General features: G+C 39.1%; 1 pseudogene across 1 annotated transcript in view; it reads right to left on the bottom strand.

Annotated features, from left to right (window-relative positions):
• Nucleotides 1-2,828: 2,828 nt before the first annotated feature.
• Nucleotides 2,829-23,730, bottom strand: part of POTEKP (POTE ankyrin domain family member K, pseudogene) — a 34,388-nt pseudogene continuing 13,486 nt past the window's right edge. The window contains exons 7-10 of the transcript NR_033885.3: nucleotides 19,806-19,876; nucleotides 17,549-17,733; nucleotides 16,155-16,272; nucleotides 2,829-3,320 (exon numbers count right to left, since the gene is read on the bottom strand). The product of NR_033885.3 is annotated as a POTE ankyrin domain family member K, pseudogene (transcript). The remainder of the gene's footprint in view (nucleotides 3,321-16,154; nucleotides 16,273-17,548; nucleotides 17,734-19,805; nucleotides 19,877-23,730) is intronic.

Genomic DNA, 23,730 nt, shown 5'->3' with positions numbered 1-23,730 from the left:
TGGCAGAAAGGATTTCATTTGCTCCTGGAAGCTCTGTCCAAAAAACTGCTGAGTTGCTACTGGCTTGATAGCTCCGGTGGTGGGCTGGCTAGAGACCCAGGCCAGGAGGACCTGCCCATCAAGTAGAGTCCGGCCAATTTTCTGTAGGGCTGCTGTGGTATGCTGGGGGTCCCTCCAGTCCCTAATTGCCTCATATTTTCCAGGGAAGATGATAGCCTGCCCCTTTCTCTGGGAGCTCTGTACCACTGAGGTACGAACCTGTTGCCAATCTGACCACACCTATAAGATGTGGCTGGAGGCAAGTTGAGGAGTCTTACCTAGTCAGGAGGAACAAGCACAGGGACTTGCTTTAAAAAAAAAGTCTGGCCACGTTTTTATAGAGCAGCTGTGCTGTGCTGGGGGTTCACTTCAGCCCCTGGTCACCTCAGACACTCTGAAGCCCTAAGGCTGAAATGGCTGGGTCGCCCAAAAAGCAAAGATGACAATCTGGTCCTCCCCCTGGCAGCCCTGACTCAGGGAAGCCTGAGACCTCTGTCAGCCAGACAACAGCAGTCAAGGTAGCCAGAGACCCTGGTTGAAAGACTTCACCCACTGACTAGAAATGTGATCAGGGACTGACGTAAACAAGAGTCTGGCCACGTTTTTGTAGCGTGGCTGTGCTGTGCTGAGGTACCTCTTCCACCCCTTGTCAGCTTGGGCTCTCCAAAGCCCGCAGGCCAGAAAGGCTAGTCGCCAAAACAGCAAAGGTGGGGGCCTGTCCCTCTCTCCGGGAGCTCTGTCCCAGGAACATTTCACATTTCCATTGGCCAAGGAATGCTGGTGGGGGTAGCTGGAGGCCCCAGTTGGGAGGTCCTGTCCAGTGAGGTGGAACAGGATCAGAGGCCTGCTTACAGAAGCAGTCTGGCCATGATTTGGTAAAGCAGCTATGCTGTGCTGTGGGATCTCTTCTGTCCCTCGTCGGTTTGTATTCTCCAAAGCCCGCAGGCTGGAATGACTAAGTTGCCTGAACGGGAAAGATGGCAGCCTGCCCCGTCTTTTCTCTCAGAGTTTTATCTTGTTTCATGGAGCTTAATTTTTAGCCTGTTGATTTTACTGTCTTCATTAGACTTGTTGAGAAGGAATCTGTTATATTTTAGGTGAGATAAATGAGAATTCATTGTCTTCTGTAAATAAACCTGCTCATGTCTTGTTCTCTGGAAAGAAGTCTCTTTCAGCTATCTGACTTTGGTCACAATCATGTAGAGCAGTAGCCAGTCTACAATGACGTAATTGAATTTCCATTTCCAGTGTTTCCTCGTTGTGTCTTACACTGTCCAGTTCAGAACTGAGCATTTTATTCTCAGTTGTCAACATGCTAAGCTGTCCACTGTACTGAAATACTGTGCTTCCTCATTCAATTTTTTTTAAGGTGTGCACTTTTATCCAACTCTCCTCAAGTCAGAGTACAGGTAAGCCCTGGCTGCCTCCAGCCACTCTCAGAGAGACCAAAAGCCTTCATATACCCCAAGTTGAGGTACAAAAAAGGGGGGCCATGAAGGCTGATCATTCAAAATAAAACAAGTTAAAAAGTATTAAGGCGAAGATTCAAAAAATTTTGCATTACGTAATCTGCACGAAAGCAATGCTATCACCTCCCCTGTGTGAACTAGGGAGAGGACTGGGCCATTCTCCTTAGAGAGAAGTGGGGTGGCTTTTAGCAGGGCAAGGGGCTTCCTGAAACAATGCGTCTCACAATATTTGGAATGACTATTGAAAAGAAGAACAATGTACAATCAAAGTCCTTGGCCACATTGTAGAACTTTGGGGGAAGCTCGCTCCAACCGACTACTATCACCTTCGCCGTTCCGGTTTTCAAATCCTGAGTCAAGCCAATAAAAAACAAAACAAAAAATGAAACAAGAAAACAAATAAAGCCACGCCAATCTCATGTTGTTTTCTGAGAAGTTTGGTTTTGTCAAGAAAGGGTGTAACGCAACTAAGTCAGAGTCCACCTAGAAGCATTTGCGGTGGACAATGGAGGGGCCTGACTCATCATACTCCTGCTTGCTGATCCACATCTGCTGGAAGGTGGACAGCGAGGCCAGGATGGAGCCACCGACCCACACGGAGTACTTGCGCTTGGGAGGAGCAATGATCTTGATCTTCATAATGCTAGGCGCCAGGGCAGTGATCTCCTTCTGCATCCTGTGGGCGATGCCAGGGTACATGGTGGTGCCGCCAGACAGCACTGTGTTGGTGTACAGGTCTTTGCGGATGTCCACATCAGACTTCACTATGGAGTTGAAGGTAGTTTTGTGGATGCCACAGGATTCCATGCCCAGGAAGCAAGGCTGGAAGAGCGCCTCGGGGCAGCGGAACCGCTCGTTGCCGATGGTGATGACCTGACCATCGGGCAGCTCGTAGCTCTTCTCTACGGAGGAGCTGGAGGCTGCCATGGCCATCTCCTGCTCGGAGTCCAGGGCAACATAGCACAGCTTCTCTTTGATGTCACGCACAATTTCCTGCTCGGCCGTGGTGGTGAACCTATAGCCACGCTCGGTGAGGATCTTCATGAGGTAGTCAGTCAGTTCCCGCCCAGCCAGGTCTAGGCGCAGGGTGGCATGGGGGAGGGCATTCCCCTCATAGATGGGCACAGTGTGGGTGAACCCATCACCAGAGTCCATCACGATGCCAGTAGTACGGCCAGAGGTGTATAGGGACAGCACGGCCTGGATGGCCACGTACATGGCTGGGGTGTTGAAGGTCTCAAACATGATCTGGGTCATCTTCTCACGGTTGGCCTTGGGGTTCAGGGGGGCCTCAGTCAGCAGGATGGGGTGCTCCTCAGGAGCCACACGCAGCTCATTGTAGAAGGTGTGGTGCCAGATCTTCTCCATGTCGTCCCAGTTGGTGATGATGCCATGCTCCATGGGGTACTTCAGGGTCAGCATGCCTCTCTTGCTCTGGGCCTCTTTGCCCACATAGGACTCCTTCTGATGCATGCCCTCCATCATGCCCTGGTGCCTGGGGCGCCCCACGATAGAAGGGAAGACAGCCTGGGGGGCATCGTCGCCCGCAAAGCCGGCCTTGCACATGCCAGAGCCGTTGTCAATGACGAGCACAGCGGTATCATCATCCATGGTGAGCTCATTCAATTGTAGAGCCTTTAAAAGATTATCATTCTTTTTTTCCACACTTTCAATTTCCTCCAAATATTTCTTTTCTCTTAGCTGGCTCTGATGTTTCATTATGTCTAGCTCCAGTCTTAGCATGGCAACTTCTTCCTGCAACGTACTATTTTCATGCAAGAAGTCTTTTTCTTTCTTATAACTAAGAGAAAGCTAAGTAAACAAAGGGAACTTTTAGTTAGCACTCAATAGATTGACATATCATGATTTCTTCTGAAATTAAAAAATAACGTGTATTTGTATAATGAAAGAATCCACATAGTGGATATTTAACTGGAAAAAAATTGGACAAAACTTCAAACCTAATAGAGTGTAAATTCCTCTAGTGATTTATTTTTCATAGTCTTTAAATAAATATTTAAACTTTTAGGAATCTTCTCCTGAATTCCTAAAAGTTTAAATATTTATTTAAAGACTATGAAAAATAAATCACTAGAGGATTTTTAAGAATCTCAGAATTAAAAAAGACTTTCTGTGAGTTACAAAAAACCCAGAGGCATAAAATATAAGATTAATACATTTGACTATATTTTTAAGATTAGGTTTACTCTCTGATATCTAACCTATCAACCACACCATCCTAAGAGCCTTGCTATGCATATATTTGGACAGAAGCAATTTCTCAAAGTTCTTTAAGTTTCTTTTACTGAAGAACGTTTTACTGATATTCTACATTTCTAATATTTCTATACTCAGTTATAAGAATTACATTTATTTATAACTGTCAAATCTAAGCACTGTACCCTTCCACACTGTACACATCTGTATCTAGGCATTGCACTTCTACATACAATACTGAACTCATTTAAGATCGCGATTCTTAAAAGGAGAGGTCAAAAAATATACACAGATGCAGGATTTTCCCCAGGTCTGCTGATGCTACTTCTAGTGATCCTCCACAAAACCACAGTTACTTCTGTGGTGTAAATATATAAATACAAAAGAAGCCTTTTGTTTCAAAATATGAATGGTAAATAAGATACAACTTATAGAGATTTTCTTAGAAATCATGAGATTATTTCCCATTGTGATAACTTATTTCCTCTTTATAATATTTGAAACAGTAGTAACTGTGAAATAGGGGAAATATACTGAACTATTTCTCTAGGAACAAAATACTTATCAATAAATGATCACTAAATGTGTATCATGGCATGTCATTGTTTTCTAACCTCTTTACATTGAAATGAGAAACTACTTGGAGCAAACTGTTCCTCTCCACAAAAGTAAGGATAATGACATCCACAATGTGGCCTCTGACCCAGCTATACATTTCCTACTTTCCTATCAGTGAAAACAATCAATTGACTTCTCTATTAACACTTTTTTAAAAACTAATGTCCAAAAACAAGAAAATCTGTTTTCAGCAGCAAAACTTTTTATATGGAAAGATCATCAATTCTTATGAAAAGTATCAAATGCTTCTCCTCTGGACTGAGGCCATTGTGAAGGTCACTACTCGACTGTTGCAGGCAAATGGAGGTGAATTAAGAACATGGCTTTATCCTATATGTACATATATAGGTACATGACAAAGGATATATAGAATATATACACACATATATATGACTTAAAAATCCTTTATATTTCCAAAATATCTAGTTTTTTAAAAATATATACACATATAAAAACATTTGAAAATAACTAAAGAAAACACCTCAGAATTTTTTTTTTTTTTTTTTTTTTTTTTTTTTTTTTTTTTTTTTTTTTTTTTTTGAGATGGAGTCTTGCTCTGTCACCCAGGCTGGAGTGTAGTGGCACGATCTTGGCTCACTGCAAGCTCTGCCTCCCGGGTTCACACCATTCTCCTGCCTCAGCCTCCCAAGTAGCTGGGACCACAGACGCCCGCCACCATGCCCGGCTAATTTTTTGTAGTTTTAGTAGAGACGGGGTTTCACCGTGTTAGCCAGGATGGTCTCGATCTCCTGACCTTGTGATCCGCCCGCCTCGGCCTCCCAAAGTGCTGGGATTACAGGCGTGAGCCACCGTGCCCGGCCCAGAATTCATTTTCTTTTCAGCCACTTCTATCTGCTTTTCTTCATGAACAGAATCTCATCTTGTAATATTCCAGTGTTCTGTTCTTCAGAAAGTTGCTTCTGAGTATCATTTTGTTCATCATTAGAAGAAATTTTAATTTTCATGAAATACTGGAGGTGTCCCTAAAATGATCTACAGGGCAAGATGGCGCCATCAGATGTCATTCACACAATGTATATCTGCACATTATTCCAAGCAAGGCAAAGGGGTCTCACATCTGTTAACCAGGTGTCCCCAACCATGCTGGCACCAGGGACTGGTTTTGTGGAAGATAATTTTTCCAGGAACCTGAGGTGGGGGATGGTTCCAGGATTCAAGAACATTACATTCATTGTGCACTTTATTTCTATTATTATTAATATATAATGAAATAATTATATAACTCACCAAAATGTAGAATCAGTGGGAGCCCTGAGCTTGTTTTCCTGCAACTAGATGGTCCTATCTGGGGGTGACGGGAGATGGTGACAGATCATAAGGAATTCAATTCTAAGGAGTGAACAACCTATATCCCCCTGCATGAGCAACTTACAACAGGGTTCAGGTCACACTCTTAGGACAATCTAATGCCACTACTGATATGACAGGAGGAGGAGCTCGGGCGGTAATGCGAGTGACAGAGAGTGGCTGTAAACAGATGAAGCTTCACTTACTCACCTGCCTCTAACCTCCTGCTGTGTGGCCCAGGTCCTAACAGGCCAGGGACTGCTACTGGTCCGTGGCCTGTAACACATACTTTTATGTTTATTTTTTGGAAACACTTTCCACTTATATTCTTGATTCCTATGTATTTTATAAACAACTTAGAAATTCCTTTTAGAACAACACAGGGTCTAATATTATGTTTTTAACATATGACTTTGAATTAATTTTATCGGTGTATGAGAGAGATGTGAAATAAACTAATTGTTAAGCACCTTCCATTTTACTTTTATTTCATGCATATTAAGAATAAAACTGGGAAGTCCTAGGCAGAGCAATTGGGCAAGAGGAATAAAGGGCATCCAGATTAGAAAAGAGGAAGTCAAACTATCTCTTCACCAATGATATGATCTTATACCTAGAAAACCCTAAAGACTCCTACAAAACACTCCTAGATTTGATACATGAATTCAGTAAAGTCTCAGAGGTTACAAAATAAATGAATACCAATCAGTAGCACCACTATACACCAACTACGACCAAGCTGAGAGTTCATATCAACAATCCAATCCCTTTTACAGTGGCTGCAAAACACTGTGAAATACCTAAGAATATACTTAACGAAAAAAGTGAGTGATCTATATAAAGATAACTGGAAAACACCACCGAAAAAAATAATAGATGACACAAACAAATGAAAATACATCCTATGTTCATGTACTGAAAGAAGTGATATAGTGAAAATGACAATAGTGCCCAAAGCAGTCTACACATTCGATACACTTCCTACCAAAGTACCAATGTCATTCTTCACAGAATTATTTTAAAATGCTGACATTCATGTAGGACCACAAAAGAGCCTGAACAGCAACAGACATACCAAGCAAAAGGAACAAATATGTTGGCATCACATTACCTGACTTCAAATGATACTCTAAGACCACAGTAACAGAAGCAGCGTGGTACTCGTATAAAAACAGATACATAGATCAACGGAACAGAACAGACAACTCAGAAATAAAGCCACTACAACCAAGTGATCTCTGAGCAAGGATACAAAAACATACACTGGAGAAAGTACAGGTTATTCAATAAATGGTGCTGGGAAAAAAAGATAGCCACATGTGGAAGAATGAAACTGGATCTCTATCTCTCACCATATACAAAACTTAATTCAAGATGGATGAAAGGCCTAAACCTAAGGCCTGAAAACATTGGCCTAGGCAAAGGATTTATGAGGAAGACCCTAAAAGCAAATCCAACAAAAATGAAAATAAATAAATAAGACCTAATTAAACTAAAAAGCTTCAGCACAGCAAAAGAAATAATCATCAGAGTAAAACAACAACCTATACAATGGGAAAAATTTGAAAATTATGACACTAACAAAGGACTAATAATATCTATAACCTACAAGAAATTCAAACAAATCAACAGGAAAAACACAAATAATTCCATTAGAAAGTGGCCAAATTACATGAATAGACATTTCTCAAAGGAAGATGTACAAACGGTAAACAAGCATATAAAAACACGCTAAATATCTCTAATCATCAGGGAAATGTACAATAAAACCACAGTGAGATATCACCTCACTGCAGCCAGAATGGCCACTATTAGAAATCAAAAAACAACAGATGTTGGGTGGATGCGGTGAAAAGACAACAGTGATACACTGCTGGTGGGAATGCAACTTCATACAAATCTATGGAAAACAGTATGGAGAGTTCTCAAAGAACTAAAAGTAGATCCTACCATTTTATCCAGCATTCTCATTTCCAGATATCTACACAAAATAAAAGAAATCGTACTCTCAAAAGGACACCCGCACACATATGTTTACTGCAGCACAATTCACAATATGCAAAGATATGGAATCAACCAGTGTCCATCAACTGATGAGTGGAATAAAAAAACTGGATGTATATACATATATATATCTCACATCACATATATGTATCATATATATGTATGTGTGTATATACACTCACACATATACATACGTACATACCTGAGACTGGGTAATTCATACACGTACATACCTGAGACTGGGTAATTCATAAAGGAAAGAGGATTAATTGATTCACAATTACGCATGGCTGGGGAGGCCTCAGGAAACTTAACAACCATGGTAGAAGGGGAAGGGGAAGCAGGCACCTTCTTCATAAGGCGGCAGGAGAGAGAGAAGAGAGAAGTGAAGCGCAAAGAGCCCCTTATGAAACCGTCAGCTCTTGTGAGGACTCACTCACTATCACAAGAACAGCATGGAGGAAACCGACCCCATGACCCAATCACCTCCCAGCTGGTCTTTCCTCAACACCTGGGAATTACAATTTGGCATGAGATTTGCATAGAAACACAAAGCCAAACTATTGGGGGGGGGTGGTTATCCTTATTTTTAAAATATCTAAATGTCATTATTTATAATTCAAAATAGCAATTTTTGTTAGTTATGATTTTGTTTGAAAATAAAATGATCTGGTAAATTTTCTTCACTTTTAACCTATTCAGTCAAAATATAGAAAAAGCTAGATTTGCCAGCAGAAAATTGTAACAACTTTTTAATGAGATAAAAATGTATAACAATATCACTATTATTGTACAGAGAAAAAAGTGAACATGAAAAGGAATTTAAAAAGACAGAATATGACTATCATATACATACATGAACTGACAAAGAGACTAAAATCTCCTACTGGAGATTATAGCAAAAGCTTCTAAAAATACCAAAAACAAAAGCAAAACAATTATTTTTAAGAAATAAACTATACAGAGAATTCTTCTGGTTAAGACAATGTATGAAAAAAAAAATCTTCGTGAGAGCTATTATTAACCAAGTCATCATAATCAAAACTTTAAATCCACAATTCTGGAATATTAAAAAGTTTCATTTTGAACATATCTAATGGAAGGCAACTTTTGAACAGAAAATTTCTAGTTAAAGTTGACTGAAACTTAGGGAAGAATTGACCTGTAGCCATGGTCACAAGACGCCACCCAGAGCCAGTTCAAAATCTAGTCAATCGATCAATGACCACTGGCCTTGCTCACCAACCAATATCAATGTGAGCAGCTTGCTTCTGAAAGACAGCCAAGCAGCAACAGCTGCTCCATCAGAATAGACATTGCCTGACAAATACAGTTACTATAGGAAGCAAAAAATTCCAACTCTGTCTTTTTATGTCAAATACCAAAGGTCCACAATCCCTTGGAAAGAATTTGTCAGTCCATTACATTTACCACCCTAATTTTTTTTAAATAAAATACTAGTGGCCAGACGTGGTGGCTTATGCCTGTAATCCACCCAGCACTTTGTGAGGCCAAGGCAGGTGGATTGCCTGTGGTCAGGAGTTCGAGACCAGCCTGACAAACAGGATGAATCCCATCTCTACTAAAAACACGAAAATTAGCCGGGCGTCATGGCATGCACCTGTAATCCTATCTCCTCAGGTGGCTGAGGCAGGATGATCGATTGAACCCAGGAGGCGGAGGTTGGAGTGAGATGAGGACATGCCACTGCACTGCAGCCTGGGTGACAGAGCAAGACTCTGTCTCTAAATACATAAAATACCAGTAAAGTTTGCAATTCCTCTGACTCATTTTACCATAATTGCAATTATCATGATTACCAGTAAAAGAATAGTGAATAACCACAATATTGGACTTTTCTCCCTAAGTGAAAAAATATTAATATAAAGAACGTAGCCAATTATAAAAAGCCAAAAGAAGTTTAAAAATACATACAATTACCAGGCAAAATTGTTAAAATGCACCTTATCGAACATTTTTTAAGTGAGAATCAATCAAACAATATACCCAGGATAAACTCCATTCATTCATTTAATACCTATTTATTAGGTAGCTACGTCTGATATGCTAGGCCTTTTTCTAGGAAGTGAGGATATGGTAATGAACAATAAAACCCCTATTCATGAGAGTGAGATAAACACACAAGAACAACAGACCGATAAGGCAAAATATACAGTACGTTAGAGGAGAAAAACTAAAGCAGGAAAATGAAATGTTCATGTCTTTGATGGGAAGAGTAGTGGGAAAGTTAGGATGGCCAGAAAAGTCCCTGCTGAGAAAGAGATTTTTCTTTAATATGAAGAAACTTTTATTTGTACATCAAAGACTCTAAAAAATGATGATGTTAACAGAGTTGATGTCAAGACACAAATAGGTTTGAAGTTAGAGATGATAAATCACTTTGTTTCATTGAACCTTCCCTCAATTACGTTAGAGAGCATCCCTGGTATGCTCCCAATTGAATCTCAAGCCTGACGCATCCTGGTGATACAATCCTAATTCCTTTCTGTTAGTAATCATTCTCTTTTTTTTCGTTTTCTTCATTTTCTCTGGACTAGGAATTGTGCTGGTACATGGTTCTTCCTCAAAAAGTGGTAATTCCTTAATGTGTTTCTTTTTACCCTTTTTCTTCTTCTTGGAAAGGGGATTTTAAGTAAAGAACTGAAGTAATGGAAAGAGTAAGCTAGAAGAATATCTGGGGAAAAAGCATCCCAGACACATGGAACTGCTAAGTGCAGAGGTGTGCCTGGAATCTTTAAGCAGTAGGGTAGGTAAGGAATAGCAACAAGTTCAGTGTGGCTGAAACAGAGCAAAAGACATAAGAAACAGAAGTTTAAGCAGGAGAGGTAACATGCCAGATGGTTTACTGCCTTTCAGTTATTAGGAGGAACTCTGGCACATACTCAGAGTGAAATGGGAGGCAATCAGAAGGGCTGGGGCAGAGGAATGACACAATTTGACTTATGTTTTAAATACATCCACTGAGTTAAGAATTGACAAAAGGGGAAGTTTTTAAAAACCAGGACTATCAATTCCAAGTCTATGACACTCATCTAGACTACAGATGACGGTGGCTCAGATGTACAAGATAGACTGGCTTCTGGATATATTCTTCAGGTAGACCTGACGAGATTTACTGAGAGATTAGATGTGAAGTGTCAAGACAGAGAGAAAGATGAGTCAAGAATGACACTGAGGTTTTTGGCAGAGCAACTGGAAGAGCTGCCGTTAACCAAAGTAGGAAAGACTACATGAGGTGTAGATTTCAGGAAGGACATCAGTAGCCCAATTTTTGATCTGACAAGTGTGTGATACCCAACAGCTAATCAAATAGAGATGTCAAGTAGGGGAGCTAATATAGAGATCTGAAATTAAGGAGAGAGATCTGAGCTGGAGACATACATTTGGAAATCACTAGCATATACACAGTAGAAAAGGTCACGAGGAGCCAGGCACAGTGGCTCACGCCTGTAATCCCAACACGTCGTGAGGCCAAGGCGGGCAGATTACCTGACGTCAGGAGTTTGAGACCAGCCTGGCCAACATGGGGAAACCCTGTCTCTACTAAAAATACAAAAATTAGCCAGGCACGGTGTCGCGCACCTGTAATCCCAGCTACTAAGGAGGCTGAGGCAGGAGAAGCGCTGGAACCCATGAGGCAGAGGTTGCAATGAGCCAACATCATGCCACTGAACTCCAGCCTGGGTGACAAACTGAGACTCCGTCTTAAAAAAAAAAAAAGTTATGAGAAAGAAGATTGAGGACTCAGCCATGACAAACAACAATGTCCAAAAGGAGAAAGATTAGGAGCAGCAAGCAAAACAGACCATGATGAACGGACTAGAAAGTCAGGAGGAAAAGCCTGAGGGAGTGAGGTCCTGAAAGCCAAGTGAAGACGCCATTAGGGAAGAGATGCCCTCCATTGGCTGAAATATTGCTGACAGATTAAATGAGGTGTAAAGAAAAATGCCTAGATTTATTACAGAAAAGAATTAGTGATAATCTTTTAACACCCCACTGTCAACATTAGACAAATCAACAAGACAGAAAGTTAACAAGGATACCCAGGAATTGAACTCAGCTCTGCACCAAGCAGACCTAATAGACATCTACAGAACTCTCTACCCCAAATCAACAGAATATACATTTTTTTCAGCACCACACCACACCTATTCCAAAATTGACCACACAGTTGGAAGTAAAGCTCTCCTCAGCAAATGTAAAAGAACAGATATTATAACAAACTGTCTCTCAGACCACAGTGCAATCAAACTAGAACTCAGGATTAAGAAACTCACTCAAAACCGCTCAACTACATGGAAACTGAACAACCTGCTCCTGAATGACTACTGGGTACATAATAAAATGAAGGCAGAAATAAAGATGTTCTTTGAAACCAAAGAGAACAAAGACACAACATACCAGAATCTCTGGGTGTGTAGAGGGAAATTTATAGCACTAAATGCCCACATTTAGTGCTATAAATGTGGGCATTTATAGCACTAAAGCAGTGTGTAGAAGGAAATTTATAGCACTAAATGCCCACAAGAGAAAGCAGGAAAGATCCAAAATTGACACCTTAACATCACAATTAAAAGAACTAGAAAAGGAAGAGCAAACACATTCAAACGCTAGCAGAAGGCAAGAAATAACTAAAATCAGAACAGAACTGAAGGAAATAGAGACACAAAAAACCCTTCAAAAAATTAATGAATCCAGGAGCTGGTTTTTTGAAAGGATCAACAAAATTGATAGACCGCTAGCAAGACTAATAAAGAAGAAAAGAGAGAAGAATCAAATGGACGCAATAAAAAATGATAAAGGGGATATCACCACCGATCCCACAGAAATACAATCTACCATCAGAGAATACTACAAACACCTCTATGCAAATAAACTAAAAAATCTAGAAGAAATGGATAAATTCCTGGACACATACACCCTCCCAAGACTAAACCAGGAAGAAGTTGAATCTCTGAATAGACCAATAACAGGCTCTGAAATTGTGGCAATAATCAATAGCTTACCAACCAAAAAGAGTCCAGGACCAGATGGATTCACAGCTGAATTCTACCAGAGGTACAAGGAGGAACTGGTACCATTCCTTCTGAAACTATTCCAATCAATAGAAAAAGAGGGACTCCTCCCTAACTCATTTTATGAGGCCAGCATCATCCTGATACTAAAGCCAGGCAGAGACACAACCAAAAAACAGAATTTTAGACCAATATCCTTGATGAACATTGATGAAAAAATCCTTGATAAAACACTGGCAAACAGAATCCAGCAGCACATCAAAAACCTTATCCACCATGATCAAGTGGGCTTCATCCCTGGGATGCAAAGCTGGTTCAATATATGCAAATCAATAAATGTAATCCAGCATATAAACAGAACCAAAGACAAAAACCACATGATTATCTCAATAGATGCAGAAAAGGCCTTTGACAAAATTCAAAAAAGCTTCATGCTAAAAACTCTCAATAAATTAGGTATTGATGGGACATATTTCAAAATAATAAGAGCTATCTATGACAAACCCACAGCCAAGATCATACTGAATGGGCAAAAACTGGAAGCATTCCCTTTGAAAACTGGCACAAGACAGGGATGCCCTCTCTCACCACTCCTATTCAACATAGTGTTGGAAGTTCTGGCCAGGGCAATTAGGCAGGGGAAGGAAATAAAGGGTATTCAATTAGGAAAAGAGGAAGTCAAATTGTCCCTGTTTGCAGATGACATGATTGTATATCTAGAAAACCCCACTGTCTCAGCCCAAAATCTCCTTAAGCTGATAAGCAACTTCAGCAAAGTCTCAGGATACAACATCAATGTACAAAAATCACAAGCATTCTTATACACCAAAAACAGACAAACAGAGTTAAATCAGCAGTGAACTCCCATTCACAATTGATTCAAAGAGAATAAAATACCTAGGAATCCAACTTACAAGGGACGTGAAGGACCTCTTCAAGGAGAATTACAAACCACTGCTCAAGGAAATAAAAGAGGATACAAACAAATGGAAGAACATTCCATGCTCATGGGTAGGAAGAATCAATATTGTGAAAATGGTCATACTGGCCCAAGGTAATTTATAGATTCAATGCCATCTCGATCAAGCTACCAATGACTTTCTTCACAGAATTGGAAAAAACTACTTTAAAGTTCATATGGAACCAAAAAAGAGCCCACATCACCAAGTCAATCCTAAGCCAAAAGAACAAAGCTGGAGGCATCATGCTACCTGACCTTCAAACTATACTACAAGGCTACAGTAACCAAAAGAGCATGGTACTGGTACCAAAACAGAGATATAGATCAATGGAACAGAACAGAGCCCTCAGAAATAACGCCGCATATCTACAACTATCTGATCTTTGACAAACCTGAGAAAAACAAGCAATGGGGAAAGGATTCCCTATTTAATAAATGGTGCTGGGAAAACTGGCTGGCCATATGTAGAAAGCTGAAACTGGATCCCTTCCTTACACCTTATACAAAAATTAATTCAAGATGGATTAAACACTTAAACGTTAGACCTAAAACCATAAAAACCCTAGAAGAAAACCTAGGCATTACCATTCAGGACATAGGCATGGGCAAGGACTTCATGTCTAAAATACCAAAAGCAATGGCAACAAAAGCCAAAATTGACAAATGGGATCTAATTAAACTAAAGAGCTTCTGCACAGCAAAAGAAACTACCATCAGAGTGAACAGGCAACCTATACAATGGGAGAAAATTTTCACAACCTACTCATCTGACAAAGGGCTAATATCCAGAATCTACAATGAAGTCAAACAAATTTACAAGAAAAAAACAAACAACCCCATCAAAAAGTGGGCGAAGGACATGAACAGACACTTCTCAAAAGAAGACATTTATGAAGCCAAAACACACATGAAAAAATGCTCACCATCACTGGCCATCAGAGAAATGCAAATCAAAACCACAATGAGATACCATCTCGCACCAGTTAGAATGGCAATCATTAAAAAGTCAGGAAACAACAGGTGCTGGAGAGGATGTGGAGAAATACGAATACTTTTACACTGTTGGTGGGACTGTAAACTAGTTCAACCATTGTGGAAGTCAGTGTGGCGATTCCTCAGGGATCTAGAACTAGAAATATCATTTGACCCAGCCATCCCATTACTGGGTATATACCCAAAGGACTATAAATCATGCTGCTATAAAGACACATGCACATGTATGTTTATTGCGGCACTGTTCACAATAGCAAAGACTTGGAACCAACCCAAATGTCCAACAATGATAGACTGGATTAAGAAAATGTGGCACATATACACCATGGAATACTATGCAGCCATAAAAAATGATGAGTTCATGTCCTTTGTAAGGACATGGATGAAATTGGAAATCATCATTCTCAGTAAACTATCGCAAGGACAAAAAACCAAACACCCCATGTTCTCACTCATAGGTGGGAATTGAACAATGAGAACACATGGACACAGGAAGGGGGAACATCACACTCTGGGCACTGTTGTGGGGTGCGGGGAGCGGGGAGGGATAGCATTAGGAGATATACCTAATGCTAAATGACGAGTTGCTGGGTGCAGCACACCAGCATGGCACATGTATACATACGTAACTAACCTGCACATTGTGCACATGTACCCTAAAACTTAAAGTATAATTTAAAAAAATTAGTGATAATCTGGAGGAAAAACAACTCTGGAGGAGTGCTGAAATTGAAGACTTACCGGCATTGAGATCAAGAGTGAATGGAAAGAAAATTTGAGTTCATGAGTGTAGACAGTTCTTTAAGGACAACATACTCAACACTCATGACTGAGAATGATGTAATTTTCGTCCACAGTCATGGAAAAGTGATAGACAAGAAATAGTAGTTTCCAAATTTTACATAACAGGTGGAGTTTTCAAATTTTATGTAACAATTATATATTTTAAAGGTTATAAAAATTATACACATATGGCATTTAAAAATGCCAGACCAAGGTTTTAAAGGCCCCTTGAACATTTCTAGATTACATAAGCTGATTATCATTTTGTTCGTGCTTATACATAAAGACCAAGAAATACTAAAAGTCTCAAGGAGAATATTTCTTGCTTGATAAAAATCAGCTAATTCTAGGACAGTTGACACTCATCAAATATACAAAGTAACTGATCACAGTAAAATACTGAGTTCTATTAACAGGAATAAAGTGGGAGAAATGCAGGAAATAATCTTATTTTATACATGAAGTTTTCAAAATCATATGAAGTCACCGGAAAAATATGGTGAGGTGAATACTGAAATATATCCTTTTCTCAAAGGAAGGATAATGTCACGCACGCAGGGCACTTTTACAAGTAGGAGTCACTGCATTAGCAGCACCTTCCTTTTAGCACTAGGGTCAACAAATAAGCACCTGTGGGCCAAATCCAGCCCACTGCCTGTTTTTTTAAGTCAAGTATCTTGGAACACAGCCATGCTTATTCACTTTACAGTCCATAGTGTCAATTACCTGGGTGTGATGTTGCACACGTGTGGTCCCAGCTAGTAGAGAGGCTGAGGTGGGAGGATCACTAGAGCCCAGAAAGTCGAGGCTGCAGTCAGCCATGATCACACAACTGCACTCCAGCCTGGGAAACAGAGTGAGACCCTGTCTCAAGAAAATACATATATGTAGTCCACAAAGCCTAAAATATTTACCGACTAGCTCTTTGCAGAAAAAGCTGGCCAACTCCTGGTTTAGTAGATCAAAGATTATTTGATGTATTTTAATAAAAGTTTTACCCAATATACTGAAATGTTTATATTAAATACAGATCCCCATGTACAATCCCTTGGCAATATTCAGATTGAGGGTCCCATATTTCAGCACTGACAACAAAAATTTAGTAACTAGCAATCTTGTTGCTAACAAGGTACAGTGTCAATGTAGCATGTAGCTTCCATTTGCAACACAGCAGATACTACAAGAATTCTAACAAGAACTCTTAAGATGTGTCATCAAACTAAACGCTTTAAATACATTTTAATTGTGAAATGATCAGTATACTCTAGATCTAACCTCATTTTTTAAAAATGGTTGCATAATACATTATTTTGGGGGTATGGAAATTGAGCTATTTCCTATTGATAAGGAATTAGAATAGCTCCAAATTTTTTATATAATAATGCTATAATAAATGTCCTTATATGTAAGTATACATGTAACATATCTATACAAATATCCTTTATATGTATTATATATGCTTACTCTGTTATATATGTGTGTTGTGTGAATATGCTACTCAATTAATGTTCAAAATGTATTTACCAACCGTGTATGAAATGTCTTTTTCAATGAAACCATTTCCTTTGCAGCAACACGGATGGAGCTGGAGGCCATTATCCTAAGCAAACTAATGCAGGAACAGAAAATCAAATGCCACATATTCTTACTCATTAGTGGGAACTAAACATGAGAACTCATGGACACAAAGAGGAGAATAACAGGCACCAGGGTCTACTTGAGGGAGGAGCGTGGCAGGAGGGAGACGACCAAAAAACTACCTTTCGAGTATTGTGCTTACTATGTGGCTGATGAAATAATCTGTACCCCAAACCTACATGATACAGTTTACCTATATAATAAACCTGCACATGTACCCCGAAGCTAAAATAAAACTTCACTGAAAAGAGAAGAAAATGCCTTTTCCCTCACATTTGCCAATACTGGTTATTTTTCAAATAAATTAATGACTGGAAAAAAATGTTAACTCATTGTTTGCTGATTTTCATTTTTCTGATTAACAGGCAAGGCTGAATATCCTAGTAAAAGTATAAAATTTGTTCATCATGACTATTAGCCCAAATTAGGATTGGTTTGACAGCACATAGTTACCTCCTGTTCAATGTTGCCACTAGGCTCACCTGTGATACTCTTCATTCTCAGTGTCAGGAAATTGCTGGCTTTCAGGTGTTCTGCTCTTCCTTGGAGGAATTAATCCATCATCACCATTGCCAGCAGCGGCACCATTAGTCAGGTTTTCTGGGAATCCCACATGAGTACTTCCGTGCTTCTTCATTTCTTCTTCAATAGCCATAAAATCTTCTAGCTGGAAAGTACACAGAGTAAGAAATTATCTACTTTAGCCACATTATCTATTGATAATCAGACTAAAACCAAGAAAGATAAAATAATTGGTCCAAAGCTCCTAAAGTGGCATTACCTAGCATTTTACGGCACCATTCGGGATTATTCCATAATAATGAAAGAATATCTCTGGGGTTTGCATCTCTTTAAAATTCAATGTACAGAATTCTGAGTTAAGTATTAAATTTTTCACTGATGATTTATGCTACTTACATGATAGGATCATGTATGCCTACATTTACTACACTTTGTTAAACAACATAGTGTAAAAATCTAATTCAACACAAACATTTGAATATACAGGTATACCTCTCTATCACCATCCTTATTTATTTCTGGTTCTTGAGACATTTTCTGCAGATGCAAAAACAAAAGGTTAATTTCCTTGTTGTATTTCTGTGACGTCTCCTCTTTTGGAGTGCATGTTTTTAAATTAATTTTATTCTTAAGTAATCAAGTATGGACAATAAAAATTAGAAAATAAAATTAAACTGTTAAAATAAATAAATAATAATTAAAATTAAGAATTAACTTTTTAATCTATGTTTAGCTACTGCCACATCACTGGCTTCTAACATGTGAAAAATAATTCACCTTAGACAACGGGAGAAAAAAACATGAACCAGCAAACTTAACTTTGTCACTATTTGTTTGGACTAAATTTAATTTGTTATGTGTTAATCTACCAAAAATGAATCAGCAGATGATTTGTAGTGTTGCAAAATCTTCCTCACTTGCAAAGAGTTTACCTCACGAAACCCTAACTAGTGAGCCCCTACAGTGCACTGAAGTGCTTTTTTAAAAGATCCCTAACTGGATTGTAGGCACCCTTTAAACTATTAGGAGCCAAAATCAACACCAAACAGAAAGAAATGCAAATTCTCAAATTTTAATTAAAATTATATACTGTAATATGATAGTGTTATGTATCCAGATTATCTGCTTAAGTCCAGTTCTAATACATTCTAATGTGTACTAATGACAGCAGATAAAAATTTTTAATCTGTACTGATTTTCTGTAACTGAAATAAATTAGAATATTATTGTGTTTGTGCACTAACACCAAAGGTTCCATTCTGCAAGATATGATCCTTGTAATAGGCAGTTGGGTTGCTTTTATGACCTGGTTCCCTCCCTGAACAGAAACACTGAGGTCAATGAGAGACAAGGCAGAATATATCTTTAACCTTGGTATCAGTGACTGGCAATATAAAACCACAGATTTTCAATCACTGGCCATGATTACTCTTTAACCATGAATCCAGCTCAGGGACCATCAGTGTTACATTGTTCATAATTCCCATTACTTAATCATATGATTCAATAATTGATGTTACTTTCTTTATCATGTTACGGTGTTGTAAAAATAAAAGAACAAACAAAGTTCTGAAATTTGTTTTTGCCTCTATTCCAAAAGGAAAGATAAGCTATAAGCTAATCAAGAAGGCAGATAAGAATATTTTAAAATAAGAGTATTTTAAATTTTATAGTGGGTTATATTGAAGTTAAATATCAAATATTAAATTAGAATCTACTGATTCTTCTGTTAATAAGGTTACTGAATTTATTACAATAAATTTTAAGAATCTATTAAAATATTCTTTTTTTTTTTTTTTTTTTGAGACAGAGTCTTGCTCTGTCACCCAGGCTGGAGTGTAGTGGCGGATCTCGGCTCACTGCAACCTCCACCTCCCGGGTTCATGCCATTCTCCTGCCTCAGCCTCCTGAGTAGCTGGGACTACAGGCACCCGCCACCACACCCAGCTAAGTTTTTGTATTTTTAGTAGAGATGGGGTTTCACCGTGTTAGCCAGGATGGTCTCGATCTCCTGATCTCGTGATCTGCCCACCTCAGCCTCTCAAGGTGCTGGAATTACAGGCGTGAGACACCGCTCCTAGCCAAAAGATTCTTAAAAAAAGAATCTATTGATTCTCAAAGCCTAGTCTCATAGGTAATTTCATTTGGACTATCTAATATTATTAAGGCAAAAAAAAAAACATTAAACCAAAAGTTTAAATTTAAAAGTTTCCATGCCTCTGGCTGGCTGTTTTCACTTCCTTTAAGCTTTTGTGACTCTTCCTCTGATGTCAGCTTTAAGTCTTGTTCTGTTGAAAAATCCATATATTCAGTTAAAATCAACCACTTAGAACAGTTAAAAACTATTGCCTTTTAAAAACAGATTTAAGACATTTCATTTCATAAATTGGGCGTTTAATCTTTCATGAAATTGTCATTTAAGAAAAAATTCTCAAAAACTTCAAAAAACCACTTGGGGAGATACCAGATGTCACCAGATTGAAGACATACAAACATGTCAAAAATTCCCTTACAAATTCATCCACCCAACATCAATGAACAAACCCACCAGAAACACAGCTTCAAAATACAGCAGAAACATATAAAGTGACACAGTATACTGTTCTCCACTTCCTAATAGTACCTTATAAATGATTTCCAAAATCACTGCTGACACCTTTATTAGTGTACAACATCTTCCTAATATCTAAAATGTTTCCCTCCACTATTCTGACACATTTATTTTCATTTTTTTTTTTATGAGTCAGGGTCTTGCTCTGTCACCAGACTGGAATGCAGTGGTGCGATCAGCTCACTGCAACCTCCAACTCCCTGGTTCAAGCGATTCTCCTGCCTCAGTCTCCTGAGTAGCTGTGATTACAGGCAACCACCACCACACCCAGCTGATTTTTGTATTTTTAGTAGATATGGGGTTTCACCATTGGACAGGATGGTCTTGATCTCCTGACCTCGTGATCCTCTCCAGAAGTGCTGGGATTACAGGTGTGAGCCACCACACCTGGCCTTATTTTCATCTTTTGAAACAATGCTATGTGAAGTCTTCCTTGATTCTGCATGTCTTTCCCCAAATAAACAGGTACCTCCTTGCTTGAGGCTGCCTTACTACGTTACTGATTTTTCTACTGCATCTTTACCACCTAAACTGTACATTATTCCTCCATGTCTGTCCCCTCTGCTCCAAGACTGCAGGGGAGAGTCTTGCACATCATCTTTGTAAAAACAATCTTTGTTTTACTCAAAAATTTTTTATTGAGTCCTGCTACATATATGCTAGGCGTTAGGGTCTAAAAAGAATGAAAATAAAGCATGTCAGGGATGGCTTTTCTAGAAAACATGCCCAAGCAGAGACTTAAATATTGAGACTAGCCAGATTAAAAGGGGTAGAGGGCAGGAAAGGGTGACGGCATGCCACGCAGCAGCAAGAGCAGGAGCAAGGCCTGAAAGAGTGAAAGTATTTGCCTACAATAGAAGGATGAGTGAGTAGGGCATTACCAGCAGCTCAGTAATGCCAGAGAAAGGGCACACAGGGAAAAGGGCTAAAGATGGAGAGTGGGGCAGAAGTCAGATTATGAAAGCCTTATGTGTAATTTTAAGATGCTTGGACATTAATGTTCAAGAGTGGTCCTGGGTCCTATCTGCATTAGACATAGATCACTTTAAATGCCAAAACCAATATTACCAGTGAACTATTATTCATTAAGACAAGGTGACAGATAGCTCATGTGGACACAGCTGAGATGATACTATGTAGCAAATTCTAAACAATTCTCATGAACACTTGGAAAGTCAATTCTATAATGAAGTCATACAAATTATAATAAATCAGTAAACATTTGGTTTGGGAAGATGCTTTGTAAAGTTATAGTGCATATGAATACAACTAAGAGTTGTGACTTCAGAGCTGTGACAATAAATCAAAGAAACCACATTGTGTTTGAGTCAGCAATCTTTAGATTTGTATCCAGTCTTCCCATCCAGTCCATAAATTCTAAGTATAATCCTGGCACTCACTCTTAAGTTTACATTAAATACTATCTCATACAAAAAAACATTCTTTCTCTTACTTCTTTTCATTATTCATACGTTGCCTTCTTTAAAGGAAGAACACAAAAATGCAATGCTAAAAAGATTCTGATTGGCTGCAGGCGGCAAGAGGGAAAAACACAAAGCACGTTTTGCAGAAAATGATTTTTTAGAAGTCAGAACTATGACATGAAGCCAAGCAGGGCACTCTAGGACTGAATTTGCTGTGCTGCCTTCATACGCTCCTTGCTCTTTCTTTTCTGGCAGCTGTGACTCACACAGGTCATGGAGAGTATCATTCCCTAAGAGGAACAACTCTGATATTCATCTTTATCTATTAAGTTCATCTGTCCCAATTCTGTGTTCTGTGGATGCTGACTTTCGGTCACGGATGGTGATATACATGGACATTTATCATCAACTTTCAGATTCTTGGATCTTTGACAAGTCTTATTACTGAGAGTCAAACTACCAGGATGCGAGTTATAAATGCTGGTCATCCAATTACCTACTCAAAATATCCTACACGAATATTCTATTAAACTTGCATAGAAAAAAATTAGTCATTCCTGCTGACCTGCTGCTCTTTGTTCTTCTGTATTCACCAGAATATTTCCTACTCTTTCCTCATGTCCAGGTTAAATACTAGTGTACAACCTGGAAACCTGTAAATCTTCTGTCCCCCAAGCCTTTCTCATTCAATTATCACTAGATCATATTGACTATACCTCTCTTCTGCCTCCGTTTTATATTCCCACTGCCACTGGGAACACAAACATTTACAAAATGGCTTTTATTTAAAAGAAAACTGCCAACTCTTAATGTTATTTCTTACATGAAAAAAATTAAGCAAAACAAATGAAAAAGGCATAACGAAGGCTAACATATTTAAATGAGTAACTGAGATTCCTAACGTTATTTACTTCACCATGGACAGGTGAAAACCTTATAATACATTGATACTAGTCCAAGGATGTGTGACATGGAAACTATAGCTGACTACTGCAAAAGCTTCCTTTGTCTCCTGGTTTCTTTACATGGTTATCTTCCATCAATCCCAGGAAACTATAGGCCACAGGCCAAATCCAATCTGCCTTATGGCTTTGTAAATAAAGTTTTATAGGAACTCAGTCATGCCTGTTTGCTTACATATAATCATGGTGGCTTTCACACTACAACAGCAGACAACAGCAGGGTTAAGCAGACATGACAGAGACCACATAGTCTAAAATATTTCCCACCTGGTCCTTTACAGAAAAAGCTTGCTAACCCATTTTACACCATAACCAGAATGCCTTAATACTCAAATTTAATCTTGTGACTCCCCTGCACAAATTTCTCCAATGAGCCCCTGCAGCACACATTGTTGGCTCCCTATCAATAGCCATTCCTCATTCTTTCTTGCAGAAGAAACACAAGTCTATTGGGATATTTATTATCCCAATCCCCCTCCTCAGCCTCAGAAACAGAAATGTTTATTCTAAGCTAATCAGGTATTTGCCTTCCCAGTGCCTGGTTTAGGAATGAGCATGTGGTATGACCCAGCCAACGAAATGTTACAGGAAGCCCCTTGCATGCTTCTAAGTTTTCTCCCTGTTTAAAAGACACACGTGAAGAAAAGCAGCCCTTGTGATGTTGTGTTGTGAGAACATGATGTTTGGAGCTGCTGGGGACTAGCCAACCATGAAAGGAGATGTGAATAAAACACTGTCAACACCACAGCTGAAAGAGGGACAGGTGGGATCCTAGGATATCAATGAACAAAAAAACAATTCTGGTTCCTACTGTTTTAGCCGCTGCTCATCTAGTATTTGCAGTCCAAAGCATTCTACCTGGTAAATTTCCCATGGCCCACAAGATAAGACCTACTCATTTCTATAGTATTAAAAAGTCTATCATAAACTTGCCTTAGCTAACTATTCACCTCTTTCCCAATCTCTGGTATCTCACACTTTTGGTACTAGCAAAAGTGAACTGCTCAGAAACCCTGCAAAGTCCACTCAAGCATCTTGTCTTTTGCACTTGCTGCTCTTTCTGCCAAACAGGCAATCTCATTAGATGTTCCTTCTGGCAAACACACAATCTCACTACATGTTCCTTCTGCCAAACATTCTTCTTC

Source organism: Homo sapiens, chromosome 2 (assembly GCF_000001405.40).
Source record: "Homo sapiens chromosome 2, GRCh38.p14 Primary Assembly".
Taxonomy (NCBI): Eukaryota; Metazoa; Chordata; class Mammalia; order Primates; family Hominidae; genus Homo; species Homo sapiens.
This window is presented reverse-complemented; position numbering and strand designations above follow the sequence as displayed.